Source organism: Homo sapiens, chromosome 6, assembly GCF_000001405.40.
Source record: "Homo sapiens chromosome 6, GRCh38.p14 Primary Assembly".
Taxonomy (NCBI): domain Eukaryota; kingdom Metazoa; phylum Chordata; class Mammalia; order Primates; family Hominidae; genus Homo; species Homo sapiens.
In genome coordinates this window covers 71,311,942-71,336,194 of record NC_000006.12, presented here as the reverse complement: position 1 = coordinate 71,336,194, position 24,253 = coordinate 71,311,942, and the positions used below count along the sequence as shown (strand labels likewise).

The following is a 24,253-nucleotide window of genomic DNA, read 5'->3' as shown; positions in this document are numbered from 1 at the left end:
ATTGATACTTCCTGTTCATGAGCATGGAATGCTTTTCCGTTTGTTTGTGTCATCTATGATTTCCTTGAGCAGTGGTTTGTAGTCCTCCTTGAAGAGGTCCTTCACTTTCCTTGTTAGCTGTATTCCTAGGTATTTTATTCTTTTTGTAGCAATTGTGAATGAGAGTTCTTTCATGATTTGGCTCTCTGACAAGCTCTGTAATATTCTTTTATACATCCCTGCTTTGGTATTTGCTGTTTTCTTTCTTTTCTTTGCTGTTCTTAAAGAAGTAGCTCCAACTTACATCCTACCCTTGGGCAGAATTGCTTTTCTCTCACAGTACATATCTTTATTGCAAACCACCCCATTATGCATTGTGTGTCTGTATGTGTGCCTATCTGTCCCTCCCATACACTGCTCAGTGTTACCTTTGTTAGATGTGAATCACCAGAACAACAGATGCTTTTCATTCACCTGCTAAAAAGACCAGCAGGTATCCAGGACCCACTGAGCACTGTGGCTAGGCAGCATCTCTCAGAATGTCTGCATACTTCAATTGCCCCTTTTGAGTTGCATAGTAATCAAAAGTCTATTGCATTTGTTCTCACATCTTTATAACAGTTTTACTAGTTATGATAAGCAAGTAATCTCATTAAATATTAAACAAACATAAAATGAGCACAGCAAAAATGAAAGTTTTATTTCTGTGAAATGTATTCTGAAAGCTTTGGGAAAACTTGATAAAGGAAATCACAAAACAAACAAAAATATCCTGACAAATTAATTATGGGAAATACCATTATACACAATTGAAGGGAAATTTTTAAACATCCAGATGGATTCTTCACTCAGATATATTGCAAGTATCATTAAATCTTTGCTCCATTTTAAAGAAGTCACAGTTGAAAAGTATGATGCATGGATGGGTCAGTTTTTATCAAGAAGAACAAGCTGTAGCTCCAAACAACAGTGTCAGTTTAATAATTTAAAAAAAAGATCCTGGCTTTACATCACAAGATTGGCAAATCAATTAAAGGTATAATAAAAATGTTTAAGAAATATCCCTTTTAACCTTCTTTAACCCATGTTTAAACATGAACTAGCAAATCCTTGACAAAAGGCCTTCTACTGAACTTTACCCTGTCTCCTAACCTTTGCTGCTAAGAGTGAGTAAAAATAACAGAGTCAAACTGAAACTAAGGAAAGGAGGAAACCCCTCTCTGATGGGGAAACTGAAATGTGACTGACATGCTACCTGTGACTATGAGTCACCTTATGGAGGACACTGGGGTAAATGAGGTATGAGAGATGGAGACAGAAAGCCTGCTGATTTGGACCCCTGAGAGTTGCTCCCAAGACCAGGCACACACCTTTTGTTCTAGAATTAATCACACAAACAGCATCTTTTCCTTTTTATTTGAGTTCTTTAAAGCTGGGTTTGTTTCATGTGTAAACAAACAAGACCGGGTAATAATAATTTTAAAACCTCTACCTTACATATTAAGGAATTACTATGGAATCTTTTAATTGACCCAAAAATATTACTGGATGTAATATTACTGGACATCTCTTCTGTGCCAGGCTCTGAGGATGGAACAGTGAACAAATCAGACAGTCCGGGTTCTCCTGGAACTTACAGGCTAGTGCCCCAAGGGCTGGAAAGGATTGCAGATATATATTTTGTATTTACATCACACTAATATTTGTATCATAATATTATTGCATTCATTATGTGTTAATAGTTGACAGATCCAACATGGACCTTGAAGAACATGTGAATATTTTCAAGGGAGTAGCCATAAACCTTTATTTGAATGCCAGTGAAAATAATTACATACTCCAAATCATATTCCTGTGCCATTGTCAAATTCAGAATTTGGTGTTAAAGGAACTGTAAGACTTAACAAGCAAGGCAATTTCTTATGTTCTCATGATACAAATATATAGAGAGTAGCCCCACGTGGATTGGTTACTGCTGGGTGACAGTACTTGTAGAAATTCAGAACTGGAAGATGCCTACATGTAAGGAGTGTGAAGAACAGAGGAATTAACTGGTTCATTCATGGTCAGCCAGACTGCAAATGTGGCAGTTCCCAGCCAGGTGTTCACAGTAGGTCACCATGGCTTGAAAATATGTCACAAGTAGTTTGTTACTCATAATAAAAGAGTAACAGTTGAAAATTATTACTTTTTTTCAGAAATTAGATCACATTTTGATTATTCCTATAACATGCTCATTTGCATTCCAAGATTCATTCTTGAGCAGAAGAATGAATCAGCTTATTCCCTGCTTGTGAGCCAGAAATTGCACATTCCCTGGGAAGTTCCTGAGAGAAGATTGTGCAAACCGAGGTTACGAGTCATGTTTCTTGTCACTGGACACATAAAGGCTAAGAATCTTGTGACCTGGTGGAAAATCCAGGACTAGAACCCAGTATTTTGAGTTTTTTAGAGAGTCTTGTTTTTTAATCAACTTATAATAAAGGGTAGGATGGACTCTCAATCTTTAAATATGGAGGAGAAAATTTAACATGTGATTATTAGTGGCCCACGAGAAATAAACCCACATCAAATGAAGCTCAGTTTGTGGTATCTCTAGAACACTTTCTTCCTCTGTTCCTCAAAGATCTGGTGGTAATTTTAAAACCTTGTCTAACTTCTGTTTGTTGTAGAGGAGGTTAATACTTTGCCCAAACTTGGGCTTCATCACATGGTATTAGAACATGCCAACTAATGCCCTATTCAAATACCTCAAATAAAATAAAATAAAATATCATTGATTTGGGCCCAGTGCTATAAACTTCAGTTTCCAAAAGCTTTCAGTGTCAATTACTTCCCATAGCAAAGCAGTCCACAAGCCTCTTGATGATGTTTAGAGTCTTATATCATCAATTGCAGGCCTGTTTATACTTCACAATAAAATCTAATTTCTCGTACTTACTGTCAGAGTTAGGCAGCCTTATTGAATTGAATTCCTAAAGAAAATGATGATCTCAGAAGTAAACTTGAACTTATTAAAACAAGCTTGCAGTCCAAATTTCCAGCAGCAATGGGGCTTCCTAATTCAGTTAATTCAATACATGCTACTCAGCAGTTTGAAGGATATACTTTCCAGAATATAGTGAGATCTCACCCTATTAGAGGTAAAAAGTGAATTGAATGCAATTCATACAATATTAATAACTTGCTCTACTTTACAGCTTAGTAATAAAGTTATTTATGCTCCCAGAGGCGTTTCATGACATTCACAGTAGAAAGATGGCAGTAGACAGGTGGGCTGGGCCTGTGACATTTAGAAATAGCAGAACTGTGACACCTTCCTGTGAGGCTACATAGGATGATGGCCAAGGAGAATGACCCTGGTACAAAATCTTTATAAGCAGCACACTGAAGAAGAGACATAGACTCTAAATAAACTTCTATCCTACCTTTTGGAACAAGTGAATAGCAAAAATTGTAATTTAGATGAACATAGTCTGGACATAGATCAACTAGCTACCACACCACAAATTTATCTTTCCCAGATCAACTGTATCCTTTCAAGATTTAAATTACACATTTCGCCTAGCTCCTCACACATTAACATAAGTTATACTCAACCTCCACTATACACATAGATGAAATTTTTGTCTTTAATTATGTACTGTTTTATATTCTTTTATCCATACTATTTTCTATTGTTTCCTATGTTCAGTTCCAAGCACCTAGAAAACGATAATCACATCTTATGCAGTGCTCCCCTATCTCCCACAACACCTGCCACAGTAGTAAATAAAAGACCAATGCTGAAGAAGTGTTTGTAAATAAAGAAAGAAGATGCCAAAGTTTTATCTGATAATCATTTTCCATGATCAGATGTAGGATGTGCAAACAGAAGGAAGTGGCATCATAAATAATTCAAAGTAGCAGATAATTGGAAGGTCATTTCTATTTTACTTTGAAATGCATTAAGGCTGGCCACAACTTTAAACAACAGCCCACTTATAGTCTCATCAGCAAATGATGAGTCATGTGCTGTGATAAACTAAAAGATGAAGAGGAATGGAACACAGTTTCCGTATTTTGTCTACACAACATTTATCACCCACTTCCTTCTAGCATCCTATTAGCCTTCTAGGTAATTAGCTCCCCGATTATGTTCAATCTTGTTGGGAAAGTAAATCCAGGCATCACTGGATTCACTAATTTTAACTAATTTCTTCAACTAATTTCAACTAATTTCTCTGTTATTACCTGGCATAACTAAGGGCTGGTACATCACTTATACTTGGCCAATCAGACACACTTTTCCAGGGCTTGAACTTTAGGCCATGTTATGCCAAGGCAGAAAGGAAAAAGGACATTCCAGGGCTCATAACATACATGGGGCATCCATCAGGTCTTGCTTCTAAGACTTAGTGGAAATTCTTAGGTCCCATAAATTCCAAACAGGTTCTGGTAATCTGAGTTTTTAATGAATTCACTTGTAATAGAATATAATAGACTTATTTTCTATTGTTTGCAACCAAAACACCCTAACTGCCCTGTTGGGCCAATGCTTCCCTGAGAAATGTGGAAGTGGAAAAACAGGACACAGACAGCGTAGCACAAGGGTAGAGTGTGAGAAGATATGATGAGTAGAATCAGGGTCAGAGAAGCCACATAAAGTGTGGGAAGGTTATCATTGTGCAGTAGTCAAAGGTAGGGGAGGGTCAGAGGAGGCTGATGCATAGGGTAAGGAAAAGGCCAAGAATCATACAAAGAAGCAGATATGCCTGAAGGATGAGACCCTGCGACCTCTAGGAGGACTGGCTCCCAGTGGCAGTTCAGTTCCCAACGCTTTTTCTCAGAAGAGCCCACTGTGTATTTCCCTGGATTTTCATTCATTTAATAATCTCCTTTGTACTCTTCCATGGCTTTTTAAAACGAACATATAGTGATTAAGTTGTGAGCTCTAGGATCCAACTGCCTATGTAAGTAAGACTCTCACTCTATCACTTATTTAAGTTTTCCTATCTGTAAATTGAGGCTACTAATAGGTACTTCATACCTCATAGGGTTTTTATGAGGTTTCAATAAGATAATTCAAGCACACTGCTCAGCCCAACACCATTCCGATATATCAGAAACAAATCTCATGCATCTCTTTAAATTATCTCTACCTCTCACCTCCTAGACAGCCCACATTTCTGGAAATGCAGGATCCTCACCCTTGGCCAACCCAGGTAGCTGGGCAAAACACCCTGAGCAGCCACTGAAGCTGCCTTGTGATGCAAGCTAGAAGTGACAGGGAGTTGAACCCCCCATGGAGCAAACTCTGATCAATGGGAAAGGGATAAGAGGGAATCAGGTAGATATAGTCCCCTCCCTGCATCCCTGGACTGCTGCAAGGTACAGTTTCTCCCTTTGACCTCTCTGGAGAAGTTCCTGGTAGACCGGCTGAATGACTTGGCCATTCTGGAAGCAGGAGCCAAGGTGGTAATGTTTCCCATCCCACTGATTTCCCATCTGTCTTTGCGTAGTTTCCCTTCTTACTCATTCTGGCTCCCCTAGGTTTGCACCTGTCATATACAACTCAGATTTTAAAATCCCTGTTCACTTCAATCTCTACTTTCCAGGTAACCCAGTCCAAGACAATATTAATAGTGTTATTATCATCACTTGAACTAGCCAAATTGGGCATCCGTTACTTGAAACCAAGGGAGTCAGGATAAAGCAATGAGGCAGAGTGTGCACTGTCACGCCGAGCTCCATACTGATAAACAGGTGAGCTACTCACCAACTCAGCACTGTGACTAGAATATATTTTTTAGAAGGTATTGAAGGCTTGAAGATAACTTTAAAGAGTAAAACTAGTCGCTTTTAAAAATAGTTACTAATAAATATAATAATATGCAACAAGATGCTTTATATTAAAAGCATAGATGTTTCATATATAAATTCTCAAATGAAAACTTTAGAGAAATACTGAATCAGATAAACTTTTTTTTATTTTTCTCCCTTATGTAAATATTATTAGGCCATTTACCAGTTTCTTCCCCATACATTGATGCTCATAGTTTTATTCTCTTGTAAAGAAATATTTGCAGGATGATAATTTGCATAGAAGATAATATTATGAAGTGTTGAACAATACCCTTATATTATAATAGCTGATGAGAAAGCTAGTGCACTTATACGCTATATGTCAGAGATGTTTTAAAATATAATATATGTCTTATGGCTGAAAGGAAATAAAAAGGTTCACAATAGTAGTTGTTGGCTGGTAAGCAAAAGATAATCTCAAAGTGGTGATTATGACACAGACCCTGGACTCAGGCAGAACAGGCTCAAATCCCTGCTCACTGCATTCTAATTTTGTGTCCTTGGCCAAGTTACCCTATAGTTCTAAGGTTTGGTTTTCCATTCTGCATTATAGTATATATAGGAACAATATAGATAAAGGTTAGATGTATAGATATAGAATAAAATAGATACAGGAATAGGGTGGGATAGGTGAACCCAACTTAAAGGGCTGCTGGGAGAAATGGAGTCTTCCTCATCTCAGTAAATATTACCATTACTCACCTACTTGCTCATCCTTGATTTCATTCTTTCCATAGCTTTCTCTTATCACCCACATCTAATCCATCACAAATTTCATCAGATCTCCCTCCAAAATGCATCCTGCATCCATTCTCCTCTCTTCTGCCTCCAATGCTCACATCAAAGTTACCATCATCTCCTGCCTGAGGTACAGAAATAATGTCTAATTGTTCCACTCTTCTCCTTATATAATCTGTTTTCCACACTGCAACCAAGTGATCTTTTATAGCATGAATTGCATCATGTTACTCCCTGCTTAAAGCCTCCAAAGGCTCTCCACTGCACTGAGACTGAGTGGAGAGAATTACCATTGCCCACAAGTTCTCGTCCTCATCCCCAACTCATGGCACTGCCCTCTAGCACATATGCTGGCCTTCCTTCTATTCTTCAAACAGATGCAGTCCATTCCTCCTTCAGGATCTTCATGTCTCCCCTTCCTCCTGCTTAGAATGCTCTTCTTTCAGGTCTTTGCATGACTTTCTGCTTCTCAGCATTCAGGTTTGTTTTTAAATCCTGCCTTCACAGGCAGACCTAGCCACCTGCCCCTTAGCAGATCCCACCCCATCACCCTATTCCTTAATGTTGTAATGTTTCTTCAAATGACTTCCTGCTATCTGTAATTATCTTATTGATTTAGTTATTTACTGCCTGTTTACCTAATTTGAATTAAGATCCACTAGAGCAGAGACATTTTCTATCCTGTTTACCACACTACTCTCAAGGCTGAATAGGTGAATGTGTGCAGTGCTTGGTACATAGTCTTATTTCCCTGGCACTTCCCAAGGCTGGGATCATGAATTGCTTTTATGATGGAAGAAAATATAAGCTACTTTTTCTTTGACCAGGAAATGCTGGTTTTTTGTTTTTATCTGGAGTCTCACTCTGTTGCCCAAGCTGGAGTGCAGTGGCATGATCTCGGCTCACTGCAACGTCTGCCTCCCAGGTTCAAGCAATTCTCCTGCCTCAGCCTCCTGAGTAGCCGGGATTACAGGCACACGCCACCACACCAGGCTAATTTTTTTTTTGTATTTTTAATAGAGACAGGTTTCACCATGTTAGCCAGACTGGTCTCGAACTCCTGACCTCAGGCAATCTGCCCGCCTTAGCCTCCCAAAATGCTGGGATTACAGGCGTGAGCCACTGCGCCTGGCCAAAATGTTGTTTTTTTAAAGTCATCTGTCCTAATTCGAAGTACTTGGAATATTTCTTTCTCTATTGTCCCTTAGTAGCATCTTTGAATTTCACAATAAAACCTAGTTTCCAAAATACCAGGACAACGTGAGGTGTTCCTGGAGTGGAGGCAGAATATGTACAGATAACATGGAGGGACAGCTGGCTGGAATAGACAGTCCTAGGGTGGGTGTCCAGAGGTGTGAGGTCACAGAGAACATTGTCAGGACCTGCTGTCGAGCTGGCTCATGAGCTGGTGACTATGGAAAATGAAAGCAAGTTCACGCTGACAATGCCCGTAAAGAGCTTTGTGAAGCCATGACAGTGCTCTTCAATTTTAACATGAAGAAGAGGGCATGTGAGTTAGCAAGACTGGCCAGAGGCCAGAGCCCGGGGCCAGCAAACCTTTCCCTGCTGTGAGGTGGGCAAGTTAGTTGCTCCAAAAACAAGATAAAATGATTGAGTTCTTTTCTCAAGCGGGAGTCGGAGTTTATCTGCTCTGAGGTACGCTGCATTTAAATCCTTACTATCTGTTCTTTGAGAAATACCCAACTTCTCAGGTGATTGTAGACCTTTTCAGAGTCATCACTCAGGCCCTCAATGCCTTAGAGAGAGTTTCTGATTTGCCTCCATCGGTGTCTCCTTTGCCGGGGATCTGCATTCCCTTGACCTGACCTCAGGGTCAGGAACTGGGGAAGAAAATGAGTTGGAGGTGGCCATAAGGCCCAATCTCAACAAACATGGCCAAGGAACCAGATACTCCTGGCCAAGGCCCTGAAAGAGAATAAGGCTAGTGGAGAACCTGCGTTCATTCTCCAAGTAACTGAAATAATGCCTGAACCCAAGCCTGAGTGATCTGAAAAAGTCCGTGAAAGTCCTAGAAGCAAAGAAAGCAAACTAGTTAACTTTCAGGAGATGCTCAGTCTTCCTCCCAGACATCTTCTGATGTCATACACAGCTGGCCACCTGGTGCAGTGAGCAGTGAGTCCCTATGATATAAACCCCAGGATGGTCCAGATCCTGCCAAAGTAATTAGCTTATATCAAAGAAGTAGATTCAAAATTAAAACAAAGGGATTTTAAATGTGAAACTGTAAATGTAAAAGTGCACAGCTGCTTATACTAAGTGGGTAAACTGCTTTGAAATTGGTTCTGAATTGGCTTTGGGTTCATAATGGGACTTGATTATTTCCACATGGTACTTAGCAGGCACATAAAATTCCACTAATATGAAAGAAATGTATTTTAAATGTTGGTTGATGGAGGAAAGAATACTTTTATATTACAAAAAAAAGACAAAAGGGAATTCTATGGCAACTGAAGTATATCATCTCAGAATACTGATTTAAAACTCTTCCAGTAAGATAGAATAACTTAAAATGATCATTTAATATTAATATGTATCAAGTTGATTAGGATGGAATCCTTTTTGGTTTGTAAGAAACTGATTTAGACTTTTAAATAAACTTGAATTATGTTTGAAACCTTCTGGGAAAAATATTTACCAGAGATTGCCAAGACTCTTTGACCTAGGTATCATTTGCTATCTGGATTAATTTCCAACATTTAGGTCCTTCTGCATTTGCACTGTGGCTTGTCCATCCTCATCTTACTCTGTCCTGTTTGGACTTTGGTGACATAAAAATAAACAACCATTAGTCAGCATAGTTTAGTTGCTAATGTCTTAGCCTCTGGAGTCAGTCTAGCTGGGTTCACATCCTGTCTAGGTCTCTTATTAGCTATGTGACATTGAGCAAATCACTTAACCTTTTGTGAATTTGTTTTATGCTCTTTAAAATACAACACTTCCTACTTCAAAGATTGGAAACCAAAGAAAAGTAATTCAAAATCCCCATCAACAGGGTCATCCAACTAAAAAATATATATATCTTGAGGATTTGCATTGATATTCAATATCGACATATCCAAGGCCTCCCTCCAGACCACTAGATTCTAGTAATTTGAACCGGCTTCTCCTCTCCCTCAAAGCAGCTCTGCTTAGTACAGTGCTTGGCACAAAGCAAATATTCAATAAATGTTAGCCAACGTTAGCTGCTCATCTGCTTTCCTTAAAAGCCAAGTCATTTCAACAAACCACCCCTGAGGCCCCAAGACACAGAAGAACAGCATCCAGTCCAAGCCTTCTGGTGCAGGTGGGAAACAGCAATCAGACTCTGCCAGACATATTGCCTTGATAAATGTGTGCCTCCCTCTTTGAACCACAAAGTTATAGCTTTTAGAATTAAAGATAGCTCCACTTATGTGCCACTGTATGCCAGGATATACTTGTCGTTTATAACACAATCTCACGGAAACATTGCTTTTAATATTTGCACTGCTGTGGGAGAATACAAATGTTAATCTCTGATGTTAATATCTTTAAGGAAAACTAATTTCATTTCCCAAGTTCCTCAACTAATGATATTTTTTGTTTGTTTGTTTGTTTTGTATCAGGATTTGATGAGTATGCAGTGATTCAGTATTCAATTATAGTCTTGCTCAGTATTTTTATGAGAGAATTATGACCTTCTGAAAAAAAAGCTAGTATGTAAAGTGTGGCAAAAATTTTAACTCATTTTTTAGGTTTTACTTTTTATTGAAATGTGATATACATACCAAGAAGTGCACACATAATAACTAAACAATTTGCTATATTTTCACAAACTGAACACAACCATGTAACCATTATCCAGATAAGAAGACAAAACATTATCAACATTGCAGAAATCCCCTTTGTACTCCCTTCCTGTCACCAACCCCTCCCCAAGGGTAACTATCATCCCGACCTCTAACCTCACTGATATGTGTTCCCTGTATTTGTACTCCATATGTATATAGAATCCTAGAGCAGAAACTCTTTATCTTACTTCTTTCACTCAGCATTCTGTTTGTGAGAATTGGCCTCATTGTCACGTATAGTTGTAGATGGCTCATGATCATTACTATGTAGAATTCCATCCTTGAATACACCATATTTATGACTTCTGCTATTGATGGGCAGTTTGAAGATATTATGAATAGTTTGTCTTTTGGTGCACATATGTACACACTCCAATTGAGCATCCACCCAGAAGCTAATTGCCAGGCCACAGGGTATATGTATGTTCTGCTTTAATAGATACTGACAAATTGTTTTCCAAAGTCGTTATGCCTGTAACAATTTACATCCCACTATCGGTGAATGAGCATCCCAGTTCTTCCACATTCTAAACAAAACTTGGCATTTTTCATTATTAAAAAATTGTTTGCCATTCTAACTAGTATGTGTCAGGGCATCTTTGACTTACTCCTAAGTCAAAGTTCTTAAACCTATTTTTTCTCTGTGGCACAAAGTCTGCAAATTCTATCACACTCCCTGGTGGTGATGCAGAAGGACGATGCACTCGGACTACGCTGGGCCACCTGGAGCACAATCTCAGCGCAGTTTCACAACCTGAAATACACAAATCTTACCCATGCAAAAAGAAAAAAGAAAAAAGCCTGGGGAAGCCACAGAGGGCTTCACTCAAAGACTCTTGAGGAAGAGGTGGTGGGAGAGCTATAGGACACAATACACAGCAGGGTTTCCTAAGGATGCTTTTACCACTGTTGTGTCAGATGCCTCCTTCCTCCTCAGGACTCCCTTCTCTGTTCTCCTCTTTTCCATGCTTGGGCTCCTCTCCTTTTATGCCCATTCCTTTCTTTGATCCTTTATGTCCAACTGTTGACTCCCAGGCTCTCTCCCTATCATTCCTCATCCTGGACAGCATTCCTCAAGACTAAGGGGATGGTCTGGCCAAAAAATAGCTCTTTCTCCCTAGAGAGAAAAGGAAAGGCAGATCGTAAGCATTATAACTGAATACTTCCTCCCATTAGTACTTGTGCAGCAGGGGTTTTTGAAATAACCAGTGTGTGCTGCACTCTTAGCTTCCCCTATCTCCCTTGGTAATTTCTTCCCATGGGTATCTTGGCCAGGCAGAGAACAAAACAGCCTGAACCTGAAGGACTTTTTCACTCTTTTGTGAGATACTAAATCCTCAAATGGGATTTTGCTGGGAGTCCTGGAAGAGGACTGGAGAGCAGTGTCTTTGAGAAGCAGAAATGCTGAGAGAAGCGATTTCTTTCTCATGCTGTGGGAGGAAACACGAGATCTGAGGACTATGAAAGTAGCAGGAACTTGGGCTGTGCTCAGTGGCAGTGCTGGAAGGCGGTGCTGGCCATGTCTAGTCTACATTAGTCTACATAGGAAGACTCTGCGCCAACTGAAAAGGTGCCCCCTCTAGGCAGATGCAGCCCAACAGGCATACAGCTTGATGAGCAACAGATGGTACCTTTGTCCAGAGGAAAATGAATCAGCCCATGCCAAGGCACAGGGCCTGACTGCCTCTAGGCCCCCTCATCCCCTCAATCTAGCCCTGTGGGCAGGGCACAAAATGCACCACTGTGTCTCTACAGAAATATAGCCAGACATCAGAGGGAAGCCTCTGTAGTGCACCTAGGGAGGAGAGACCCCAAGTGTTGGCAACCTCAGCCTTAGCATAAGTCCAATACCCCCCTTACTATGGCGCAGAGAGCCACAACACTGTAAGGACCCACGGATGTTGAAGTTTGACTGTGATATGTCAGCTGGGGCCACAATGATCTAGCAACTAGAGACCTTGGTCTTGATCCCATACCATTTGACTTCTTGAATATTGATACAATTCTGGAGAGTCAGGGATCCCAAAAGTAATTGAAATTTGGTTTCCTGGCAGCCTGGTGAGGGGGAGTAAGGGTCTGTTTAATTTGATTTAAAGGCAATAAGAACTGGGATGTTTCTTGTACACTTGAGTTGATTTGCTACAGCTATCATACCCGAATTACAGTTCCTTTTAAAAAAAAAAACCATTTTTGGTTTAGTAAAACTATAAAATGTAATATGCAAATGACAACAAAATTACTTCTGTTTAGGTCTACATACATAATTTTTTATTTAGTCCATGTAAACATTAGAATACAATCTTAACTTCGAATGTAATCCTGTACAATTTTATTGACATGGTTCCTAACAAGAGGTTATAGTGTTCATCATATAAAACACAAGGAATTCAAGATTATAATGGGCAAGGGTCTGACATTTCCAAGTATTCACTTGGGTACTAAAACAGGTTACTTTTCAATATTTTCTCCTTGTGGCACCGCTTTTTAGATTGTTTTATTTTTTTTTAACCTGAAAAGCAGAAATATCTGAAATGTTACTGCTCTCATATTTACAGTTGCTCTGAACTATTTGCAAGTGTCTACAACTGAAATGTTTATTTTTTGAATATTGAATACACTGTAGTGATTAGTTTTAATGACACTTACAAGACTAGTACTTGAACATTATATAGCTTACTTTTGTGACAGCCAAATTAATGATTGAAATTGAAAATTAATGTTATAAGTCATTGAGAGGAACAAATATCACAGTCAGAAACATCCAAAAATACTTAATAAAAATTGAATGAATATCATTCTCATTTAACCTAAAATAAGGATGATTTTTGAATAGCTTTTCCTTGTGAATAAAAGTCCAGATAATAAAACAAATATTTACTTAAAATATGTGATACCTTTTTTCTTGTAAACTTTTCACAAAAAGGACTGGAAGAAGAATTATTTTATCTTATTATAGTGAATAAAATTATAATAGTAAGAATGAAAAAAATCTGATATTCAATTATGCCAGAGATATTTAGGTTCCTTTTCTCTCAAGAGTTCATATTTGAACATGGCTTATCTTCACATAGTCTATTTTCTAGAATGGTAAAAGACAAATATGACCATTCCCAATGCTTAAACAAGAAAACTGGAGCACCAAGTTTTAATAAAATTCCTCAAGACCATAGTCAAGTATTAAATTCTCCATATAAAGTACACTTTAATGCCTCCATGTTTTTCTTTTACCATGGGATGATTTTTCTTTATTCTCTCTGCTTCAAAGTGCTTCTTATACTCTAAGATCAAAGTGGAATATTATCTCTTACATCAAACCCTCTCTAACCTTCAGGCAGAAATAACTGAATAATCATTCACCAATTTCATTAGCTTTAATTATGGAATCTTATCCCTTTGAATTTTGAAGAGTTTTTTTAAACTATGTCCCAGTACGCGCCAAAACTGTATAGAAAATACACCAAAATTATTACCTATGATTGTGGTTGTGAGTTGTACCATGTGTAACTTTTCAGTTTTTCTGTATTTTCTAAATTTTCTGTAAAGGTCATATAATTTATGATTAGAAAAAGCAAAACAAAACAAAAATGACATATTAAGTTTTATGAGCTATAATTTATAGCTAAGAAAAACCAATACTCTAAGACTAAGCCATAGTAGAGATATCTGAGGAGGGATAAAAGGACTTTGGATGAAGGAGGAATAAAAAAATCCCCGAAGAAAAATTTTACTTCCTTCATATATTATATCTGCATACTATGTTCCTCAGGCAGCTCAGGGGTCATCAAATAGACCCTGGGAATACCTCCATCAGTTTCAAGAAAGGGTAAGACGATAATCCAAATAGACAGATGACTACTGACAAAACTAATCTACCTTCCTTAAATAAAATGGATGGAATAACTTAAAGCCTTCTGGGGAAACATAAGACTCAGTGAAGAGTCAATCTCAAATGGCTGGAGCTCCAGACTAAAGCTTCCTGCTCTCAAATGTGAAGCTGAATCTAAAAAAGGCCAACAGTGCCTGCTCGTGTGTGCTGAATAGGGGAAAAGCCCAACTGCTGCACAAAGAGGCCCAAAAGTGCTGTGGCTTAAAGAGAAGAAAGCTCCCCTCTCTCTCATAACCTATCCATAGGAGAGTGGTCTGGTCTGGGGCAGCTCTGTTCCTTGCAGCCATGTAGGCACCCAGTTTCTTTCCACAGTTTATTCACCACAAGGCAGGGATTAGAACACTACAGGCCATGGACCAAATCCAGCCTGCCACTTGGATTTGCACATAACATTTTATTGGAATACAGCCATGCCCATTTGTTTACATATCATCTTTGGCTGCTTACACACCACAGGGTAGAGACTGAATGGTTACAAAACTGAAAATATTTACTATTTGGCCCTTTACATGAAGAAAAAGTTTGGCCACCCATGCTCTAAAATATGACCATGCTGAGCAGGGTTGGAGGCAGATTTAAGTTCCAGCTTGTGAAAAGAGCACCCAGCCAGCATTGCAAGGCCCAAGCTCAGAAGCAGCACATATCACATCCCTCACACTCTACCACAACGGCATAGTCACAAGTCTTCATGTAGTTGTAAGAAGGCTGGGAAATGAGTCTCTGGCTGAACAACCATGGTCCAGCTACATCTTTACAATGAAACAAAAGGAGGGCAGTCAGTAGCCTCCACCACATGGTGTGCTTTGTCCATCTGCTTCAACTGACATCATTAAAAGTAGCATATATCCACCTGAGTGTCATGTCATAGGCAAGTGGCCATATTTTTGTCCACACCAGAAACGTACTTTTGCTGCAACCAAGACAATATGCTTTCTAGTATTGTCTATCAGAGATAACACTGAAGTATGATTTGACACAAGAAGGAGGCGAGTATAAGAGCTATGGAAAGTGCCAAGCCAACCCAAAGACAGATTGTGTTTTATTGGAACGTGCAATGTCATAAGCAAGCTGGTTTAAAATGGTATCCACTCTTCTCAAACAACATCATGGTGTCAAAGGGTGGCCTGGTGAGTGTGCCATGCTAAATGTATTTGGAAACTAATGCCTTCAAAAAAGTGCTGTCCAAAATTCTGTTTTGTAAAAATATTCTTCAAACACACACACAAAGTTTGAACCCATTTAGAAATAATTGACCACACACAAAATAAACTGTAAGTCTCCAATCAGGCTCCATTTAAAAAGAAAAAAAAGCGTACGTAAAAAGATCCAATGAACAGTATCAATTTCCATAGGAGACTTCATAGTCCATTTGCTCTACCACCATAAGAGATTAGAAGCAAAAAGGCATCTAAGCTGATCTTTCTGCCAGGACGATTCCCTGCAGCAAGTTTTACTGCCTTCTTTGATTCAGTTTTAAATGTCTGGAGCAACATGTTCTCCCCATCCTTCTCCAAAGGCAATTCAAAGTCCTATGGGAGATTTTTGCAACGGCCGTGGTGTAAAAAGTAATAGAATGAGGAATGAAGAGTTAGAGATTCTGGTCCTCACTCTTCTGCTTCTCAACCACATGGACTTGCATGATTCATTCCATGAATTCACTCAAATTGTGTTGAGGCCTCTCTGTGGGAGAAACAAAGATGACAGAAACTAAGCCCAGCCCTTTAAGAGTTTATAATCTAATGCAAGAGTAACTGCAAGAGAAAGAGAAAATGCTTTGATGGGTGGCTGGTATCACACCTGTTGTGAGTGATGGTTGAGGAGAGTCATGCAAACTGTTATGGAAGGTGGGTGAGACCTGGAATGCAAAGAGGAAGGAAAAGGTGGAGGTAGGAGAGGAATGACTGGTGGCCAATTTCAGCTAGAACTTGTATCATTCACAGGGGAACAATGGGAAATCAGGAAAGATAGAATGGAACCAGTCCTGGAAAACTAATGAATTTTGTTTTTTAGTAAGCCAAGTGACTGAAGGTTTCTGAGAAGGGGGATGATTTGATTAAGGAATAGCTTTAGTAGAATTATTTATGTGGTGATATTCACATGGTAAATGAATTGGGGGTAGGCAGACTACTTAAAATCTCATTAGAAAGCTATGATAAGAAGACAGATGTGGAAGAGATTATCAGTAATGAAGATATTCAAGGAACTATTTTCCCTGTGTTGAACATGATCCAATTGCTTATTTTAGGATGCTACAATCAAAAAAATGATGAAGCAGAAAATACAACACTTAAGATAACAGATAAAATACTTGCAATTGATATGACAGAAAAATAACAGACTAGAAAGGCATTTCATTCTTAATTTAATGTTTATGAGGATTTTTTTAAATTATACTTTAAGTTTTAGGGTACATGTGCACAATGTGCAGGTTAGTTACATATGTATACATGTGCCATGCTGGTGTGCTGCACCCATTAACTTGTCATTTAGCATTAGGTGTATCTCCTAATGCTATCCCTCCCCCCTCCCCCCACCCCACAACAATACCCAGAATGTGATGTTCCCCTTCCTGTGTCCATGTGTTCTTATTGTTCAATTCCCATCTATGAGTGAGAACATGCGGTATTTGCTTGCAATAGTTTACTGTGAATGATGATTTCCAATTTCATCTATGTCCCTACAAAGGACATGAACTCATCATTTTTTATGGCTGCATAGTATTCCATGGTGTATATGTGCCACATTTTCTTAATCCAGTCTATCATTATTGGACATTTGGGTTGGTTCCCCAAGTCTTTGCTATTGTGAATAGTGCCGCAATAAACATACGTGTGCATGTGTCTTTATAGCAGCATGATTTATAGTCCTTTGGGTATATACCCAGTAATGGGATGGCTGGGTCAAATGGTATTTCTAGTTCTAGATCCCTGAGGAATCGCCACACTGACTTCCACAATGGTTGAACTAGTTTACAGTCCCACCAACAGTGTAAAAGTGTTCCTATTTCTCCACATCCTCTCCAGCACCTGTTGTTTCCTGACTTTTTAACAATTGCCATTCTAACTGGTGTGAGATGGTATCTCATTGTGGTTTTGATTTGCATTTCTCTGATGGCCAGTGATGATGAGCATTTTTTCATGTGTCTTTTGGTTGCATAAATGTCTTCTTTTGAGAAGTGTCTGTTCATATCCTTTGCCCACTTTTGGATGGGGTTGTTTGTTTTTTTCTTGTAAATTTGTTGGAGTTCATTGTAGATTCTGGATATTAGCCCTTTGTCAGATGAGTAGGTTGCAAAAATTTTCTCCCATTTTGTAGGTTGCCTGTTCACTCTGATGGTAGTTTCTTTTGCTGTGCAGAAGCTCTTTAGTTTAATTAGATCCCATTTGTCAATTTTGTCTTTTGTTGCCATTGCTTTTGGTGTTTTAGACATGAAGTCCTTGCCCATGCCTATGTCCTGAATGGTATTGCCTAGGTTTTCTTCTAGGGTTTTTATGGTTTTAGGTCTAACATTTAAGTCTTTAATCCATCTTGAATTAATTTTTGTATAAGGTGTAAGGAAGGGATCCAGTTTCAGCTTTCTACATATGGCTAGCCCGTTTTCCCAGCACCATTTATTAAATAGGGAATCCTTTCCCCATTGCTTGTTTTTCTCAGGTTTGTCAAAGATCAGGTAGTTGTAGATATGCGGCACTATTTCTGAGGGCTCTGTTCTGTTCCATTGATCTATATCTCTGTTTTGGTACCAGTGTCAGCTGTTTTGGTTACTGTAGCCTTGTAGTATAGTTTGAAGTCAGGTAGCGTGATGACTCCAGCTTTGTTCTTTTGGCTTAGGATTGACTTGGTGATGCGGACTCTTTTTTGGTTCCATATGAACTTTAAAGTAGTTTTTTCCAATTCTGTGAAGAAAGTCATTGGTAGCTTGATGGGGATGGCATTGAATCTATAAATTACCTTGGGCGGTATGGCCATTTTCACGATATTGATTCTTTCTACCCATGAGCATGGAATGTTCTTCCATTTGTTTGTATTCTCTTTTATTTCATTGAGCAGTGGTTTGTAGTTCTCCTTGAAGAGGTCCTTCATGTCCCTTGTAAGTTGGATTCCTAAGTATTTTATTCTCTTTGAAGCAATTGTGAATGGGAGTTCACTCATGATTTGGCTGTCTGTCTGTTATTGGTATATAAGAATGCTTGTGATTTTTTTACATTGATTTTTTAACTATTTTGTAAGCTATGAAAGGCTGTGAAAATGAAACTCTGGGAAGGATGTAGGAGCAGGTTCCTCTTATTAAGAAGATAGAGTCATAAGGAAGAAATTACTAACCTCTCTAGGCTTTTCACACTTATGCCAAGTTAGATGGACCTTCTAGGTGCTACTTTGAAAAATTTTAACTAGGAAGACAGTCTGTTTTTTTTTTTTTTTTCCTTTCATAGAACTATATTTTGCATACAATAAAATGTACCTATTTTAAGTGTATAGTTCAATGAGCTTTGATGACATATACACCCATGTAATCATCCCCATACACCCATATAATCATCCCCATAATTAAGCTATAGAATGCTTCTGTCGGCCTTCCCCCTCCTTTCCCCAGGCCCCACCACATTCTCTCATAACTCTGCAATCAAACTCCAGCCCCTTCTCAGGCAAATGCTGACCTGACATCTGTCACTATAGATTAGTTTTGTTTGTTCTATAAACTTCATGTAAATGCAGTCATACAATAGGTATTCTTTTGTGTCTGGCTCTTTTTGCTTATAAGGTTTTTGAGCTTCACCAATGCTATTATATGTAAAAGTAGTTTATTCTTTTTTACTGGTAAGTTGCGTGAATATTCCGCAACTTGTTTATCCATTCATCTGTAAATGTTATTAGGGGTGTTTTCAGTTGGGAGCTATTATGAATAAAGCTGCTGTGAACATTAGTGTACCTGTCTTGTTGTGGACATAGGGTTCATTCCTCTTGGGCATAGGTTTTCGTATACTTCCATATCATCTAAATCTGAGTCATATGGAAGTATATGTTTTCTTTTATAAGAAACTGACAAACTGTTTTCCAAAGTATTTATAGTATTTTACGTTCCCAGGAGCAGTATATGAGAGTTCCAGTTGCTCCACATCCCTTCCAACACTTGTTTTTGTTAGTCTTTTAAATTTTAGCCATTCTGACAGGTTTGTAGTAATATCAGGGAAATTTGCACTTCCCTGATGATTAATCATATGTTCATGTCCTTCTTGGCCACTGCATATGTATTTTTGTGAAGGGTATGTTCCAATCCTTCACTCCCTTTTTAAACTTGTCATTTGTCTTATTTTTGAGTTGTGAGAGTTCTTTACATATGTTAGTATGTTGGATGTAAGTCTATACACACATCTATATATATATGTATATGTATATATACATATATGTGTGTATGTATATGTATATATACATATGTGTGTATATATGTATATATACATATATGTGTGTATATATGTATATATACATATATGTGTGTATATATGTATATATACATATATGTGTGTATATATGTATATATACATATATGTGTGTATATATGTATATATACATATATGTGTGTATATATGTATATGTGTGTGTATATATATATGTGTGTATGTGTGTGTGTGTGTGTGCGTGTGTGTGTGTATATATATGGCAGATACTTTCTTTCCAGTCTTTTGCTTTTTCATTTTCTTAGTGATGTGTCTGGAAGAGCAGTAGTTGTAATGAGTGGGGTTGTAATTTAATTAAAAATTAAGTTTTTAATTTTAATAAAGTCTAATTCATCAATTTTTATGGTTATAGTTCTGTTCTATTTACAAAATCTTGAAAAAAATATGTTTTCTCCTGGAAGCTTTATATGTTCCGCTTTTACTTTAGGTCTATTATCTACTTTAAGTTTACTTTTGTGTACAGTGTGAGTAGGATTGACGCTCATTTCTTTCCCGTTTGAATATCCAGGTATTCCAACACTATCTGTTGAAAATACTACCCTTTCCTTATTGAATTACCTTGGCACCTTTGTCCAATGTTGATCTATTTCTGAACTCTTTATTTACTCTATTCCACTGATCTATCTTTACACCAAGACCACACTCTTGATTATGTAGCTTTGAAGTAAAGCTTGAAATCAGAAAATGGAATTTCTCCAAATTTATTTTTCTTTTAAAGGACTATTTTGACAATTGTAGGTCCTTTTTATTTCCACATATCTATTAGAATCAGCTTGCGTGTTTCTACAAAGAAGTCCTCTGGGAAGACTTGCATTGAATCTAAAGATCAATTTGGGGAAAATTGATTTCTTAACAATATGAGTTTCCTAGTTCAAGAATATGATATTTTTCCTTTTTATTTGACTTTTAAATTTTCTCTTAACAATCTTTTGTAGTTTTCAATGTATGGATCTTGTACGTATTTTGTTAAACTTATCCTGAAGTATTTCAGACAGCCTGTCTTAGGAGTTAACTATTGAGGAAAGTAATCTCTCTCATTATTTGTCAGTTTTATTAGTTTAATTACCAGAATAACAATTTCTTCAAATTGGTGGTAATGGAGGAAGGGTTGTAATGGAGGAGGGGTACTTCTCAATTGGAATGATACATATCTAATTGGATATATATATATATATATATATATATCTCCAATTAGAAGATAATTTCCTGCCATACTAGAAAAAAGTCTCTCTAGATGAAGCCTCACTGAACCCCAGCTTGCCAGCATGTCAATACATACACATACAAAGACTATAAATGAACAAGTCTCCCTGGTGTCAACTATGAAGCTACTTACCAAGATAATTAGGTCTTTAAAGTTGAAAGCAGCTCTTTTATGGATTACCCAGTCTGCAAGTCTACATATGGTTACTATTTTAAAATTATCAGATTTATCACATTAATGGGCACTATAAAAATGTTTTTTCTAGGGCTGGATTTTTTTTTAGCATAATTCTCATGCTTTAGTTTGAATCAGCAATTGCATTTGTGCAATTACAGAGTGCTTGTAGGAGGCCTAAAAACTAAGAGTAGAGAAAAATGTTTTATCAGCAAGGTTTTTCCTAGATGTACAAAATTCTCTTGAAAACACTTTTGGGAAATCTAACTACCTAACTGATGTTTTTCTTTCCACACAGAAATATTGATGTTAAAGAGGAAACTAACTTTCTGAACCATTAAATGTAATATCATTTATCTCACCAAATCCCAAGATAGGTATTTTATAGATTGTTCTTCATTTGAAAAGTAGATTACCCAAGATTCCTAGAATAATTATATTATAAATATAATAATAACATTACTTATATAATGTTTCTTCTATATTTGTGGTCTCAGTCTTTTCTCATATGAATCAAATTAGATAAAGAAGGATTCAGTGTTATTTAATCAGGAAAAAACTCTAAACAAAAGTCAAAGAGCAATCTAAAATATTAAATAGAGATCTGGCTCTGTGTCCTTTCTTTCCTTTCTTTTTTCCCTCCTTACTCTTCTTTTTTTGATTTTGGGCCTTAAAAGAACACTCAGAAACCACAAATATTCAAGAAATATTAACAACAATAATAGTCATGTATTATCCAGTCTGTGTCAGGAATAAACATTCCGATTTTATAACCTTCAGGCCTCTGCCAGGTATTATTACTTCCACTTTACAAAGAAACCGAAGTTCATAGAGTGTCACTTACCTTTCCCAAAGTCACATGGCCAAATCTCAAAGATAAAATTCAAATTACAGGGCCAAATCTCTCTCCATCATACAGATGCCTCCCACATTGCCTGTGACTTTACAGAAGCTTGGAGTCTAAATTATGTGGCTGCTATTAGTAACAACTTTGAGACCGAAGGCTATTGGGCTATTGGCTCCACCATGGGCACCACTAGCTTTAAACTCAAACAGACAGATGAGACCACTTGAACCTTGGCAGTTACCAGTTCAGAGGAGCAGCCTAACCCAGCCACTCCACAGCTGCAATTTGAGAGCATCTAGAGGACACCACATAAATCTTTTCACCTGGTCCCTGCTACCACAGATGAAACCTCCTCAATGCCCCCAAGAAGCCATCTTGGGCAGGAAAAAGAGGTGGGTGTAAAATTTGGATGACTAGTAATTTACCAAAAGAAATAGTCATTCCAAAGAGGCTGTTATACTGGCCCTGATTTAAATTTTCAATAGTCTGAATGTTTAAACTGAAAGGAGAAATACAAACATGAAGTGATAGTAGTTCCCAATGGCAAATGGAAGATGTCCCTAACCATCAGCAGGGCGGGGCTCATGAAGATCAGATAAGCTATTAAGAACGGGTGCTACATTTCTTGACCTGAGTTTGGTGTGAATGATCTTGTGACCTCATTACAGTTTTTATAATTTGAATTCAACACCATAAGCTAAAAGAGGATAAACAAAATGAGGAACCAACCGTTTCACAAAGTCTTTTAGGTGCAAGTGTTTTCCAGCCTACAAAACACTCAAGCTCAGGAAGGTTAAAGGAATTTGAGTGATCATTTACTTCCATCAACTAGAACATCCTTAGGGTTTCTATTTAAGAAAACCTTAAAATAAGGGAGCTTTTAGTTTCAATTTGGTTGTCAACATGCAGAAAAAAGGAAAGCTGAAATCAAAGTTATAATACAATCTGAAAATTAAACATTAAGGGGAAAAGCCATACCTTGAAGAGTAGCCTTTGCTGTCAATCAGTATTTCTGTCTAAACTGTAAAAACAGAGGAGGGGAAATCAGCTTTGCTGTGAACTGCCAAGGGAATTGTCTTTATTCTGCCAGATGCTCCAGATGGTTTTCTTACAGAGAAACTTCATTTCATGCTTGCAGTTGTTTATTCCCATGCATCTAACTCTCGGCCAGGCACTGAAACAGGTACTTCATTGATCTACTAAATATGATTGTAAAATTACTTCATCTTATTTAAAATTGCAAGCCAAGCAGGAAAAGTGAGACCATGTACTTCCCTTCCTTTCTTTTAACCTCAAATTTGAACCTGCTTTTAAATCAGTTTAAAACTAATTAATGACCCTTGTTGCTAAGTGACTCGAGAGACCAGGAAGGAACTATGATCTGCTTTGTAAAACAAAACATTAAATACTTATGAAACCTTTCCATATAAATCTTTGTACTATCATACAAATATTTCACTTTGGAGGCTATTTGTCTTGAAGAAATCTTATCTCAAAAAGGGGTCATAATAAGTAGCTGCCTGTAGACTTATACATCTGCTTGTATATTTATAAGCAGCTGTATATTTGTTTCAAGATATTACTTGTTTTAAGATATTACTGCTGAACATTTTTTTTAATTCAATGACTGGTTATTGAGTGTTTATTATGGACACTGTTAGGCACCTAAGATACAAAGAAACACCATGGCATTTTGTGAAGGCTGCATGCTTTCTGGTGGCAGAGGGAAGAATTAGGAGTTTCTTGCAATAGGTAAAGATCTGTGAAGACACTGGAGGTGATGATGAAGTGAGGATTGGAGACAAATTCAAGGAATAGCATCGACAGAATTTGTTATCAAATTACATGTGTTGATGAATGAAAAGCCAGGAATAGCTCCCTGGTTTCCAGTTTGGGGATCAGGCTGTGTCATTCAATGAGATTAGAAATGTCAGGGTTACAGCAGTACAGCAGGCTCCACATTGTCCCAGAGATGAGATCTGGAAGAGCTACTATGTACAGTAAGGCATGCTGTCAGAGATGATTATATCCAAAGACCATTTTTCAGAGACCCAGTGGTTTGTTTCCTAAATGGAAGTATTTGGACCTACTTCAGAACTTACCAAACATAAGCACTGGCCAGGTAGCAAACACATTAAGTGGTGAGAAAGCCTCTTTCAGGAAGAGGACTCTGGTCTTAGGTTAGTACCGCAGCATGGGTCAGCCCACTGTCTGGGCTGATGCTCTTGAATGCATTCTATTAAGAGGTGTTCCCTGAGTTAAAAAGAACCACACATAGCAAACCCACTGTAAAGA

At 37.8% G+C, this 24,253-nt stretch overlaps 1 long non-coding RNA gene across 8 annotated transcripts in view; it reads left to right on the top strand.

Annotated features, from left to right (window-relative positions):
- Nucleotides 1-114: 114 nt before the first annotated feature.
- Nucleotides 115-24,253, top strand: part of LOC124901339 (uncharacterized) — an 84,723-nt gene continuing 60,584 nt past the window's right edge. For 3 of the 8 annotated variants that reach the window (XR_007059635.1, XR_007059634.1, XR_007059633.1), the window contains exon 1: nucleotides 7,648-8,217. This is a non-coding gene — a long non-coding RNA (uncharacterized LOC124901339). Of the gene's footprint in view, nucleotides 5,725-7,647; nucleotides 8,218-19,916; nucleotides 23,142-24,253 lie in introns of those variants that run through there. The other 5 variants (XR_007059636.1, XR_007059637.1, XR_007059639.1 and 2 more) reach the window with 4 other exon arrangements.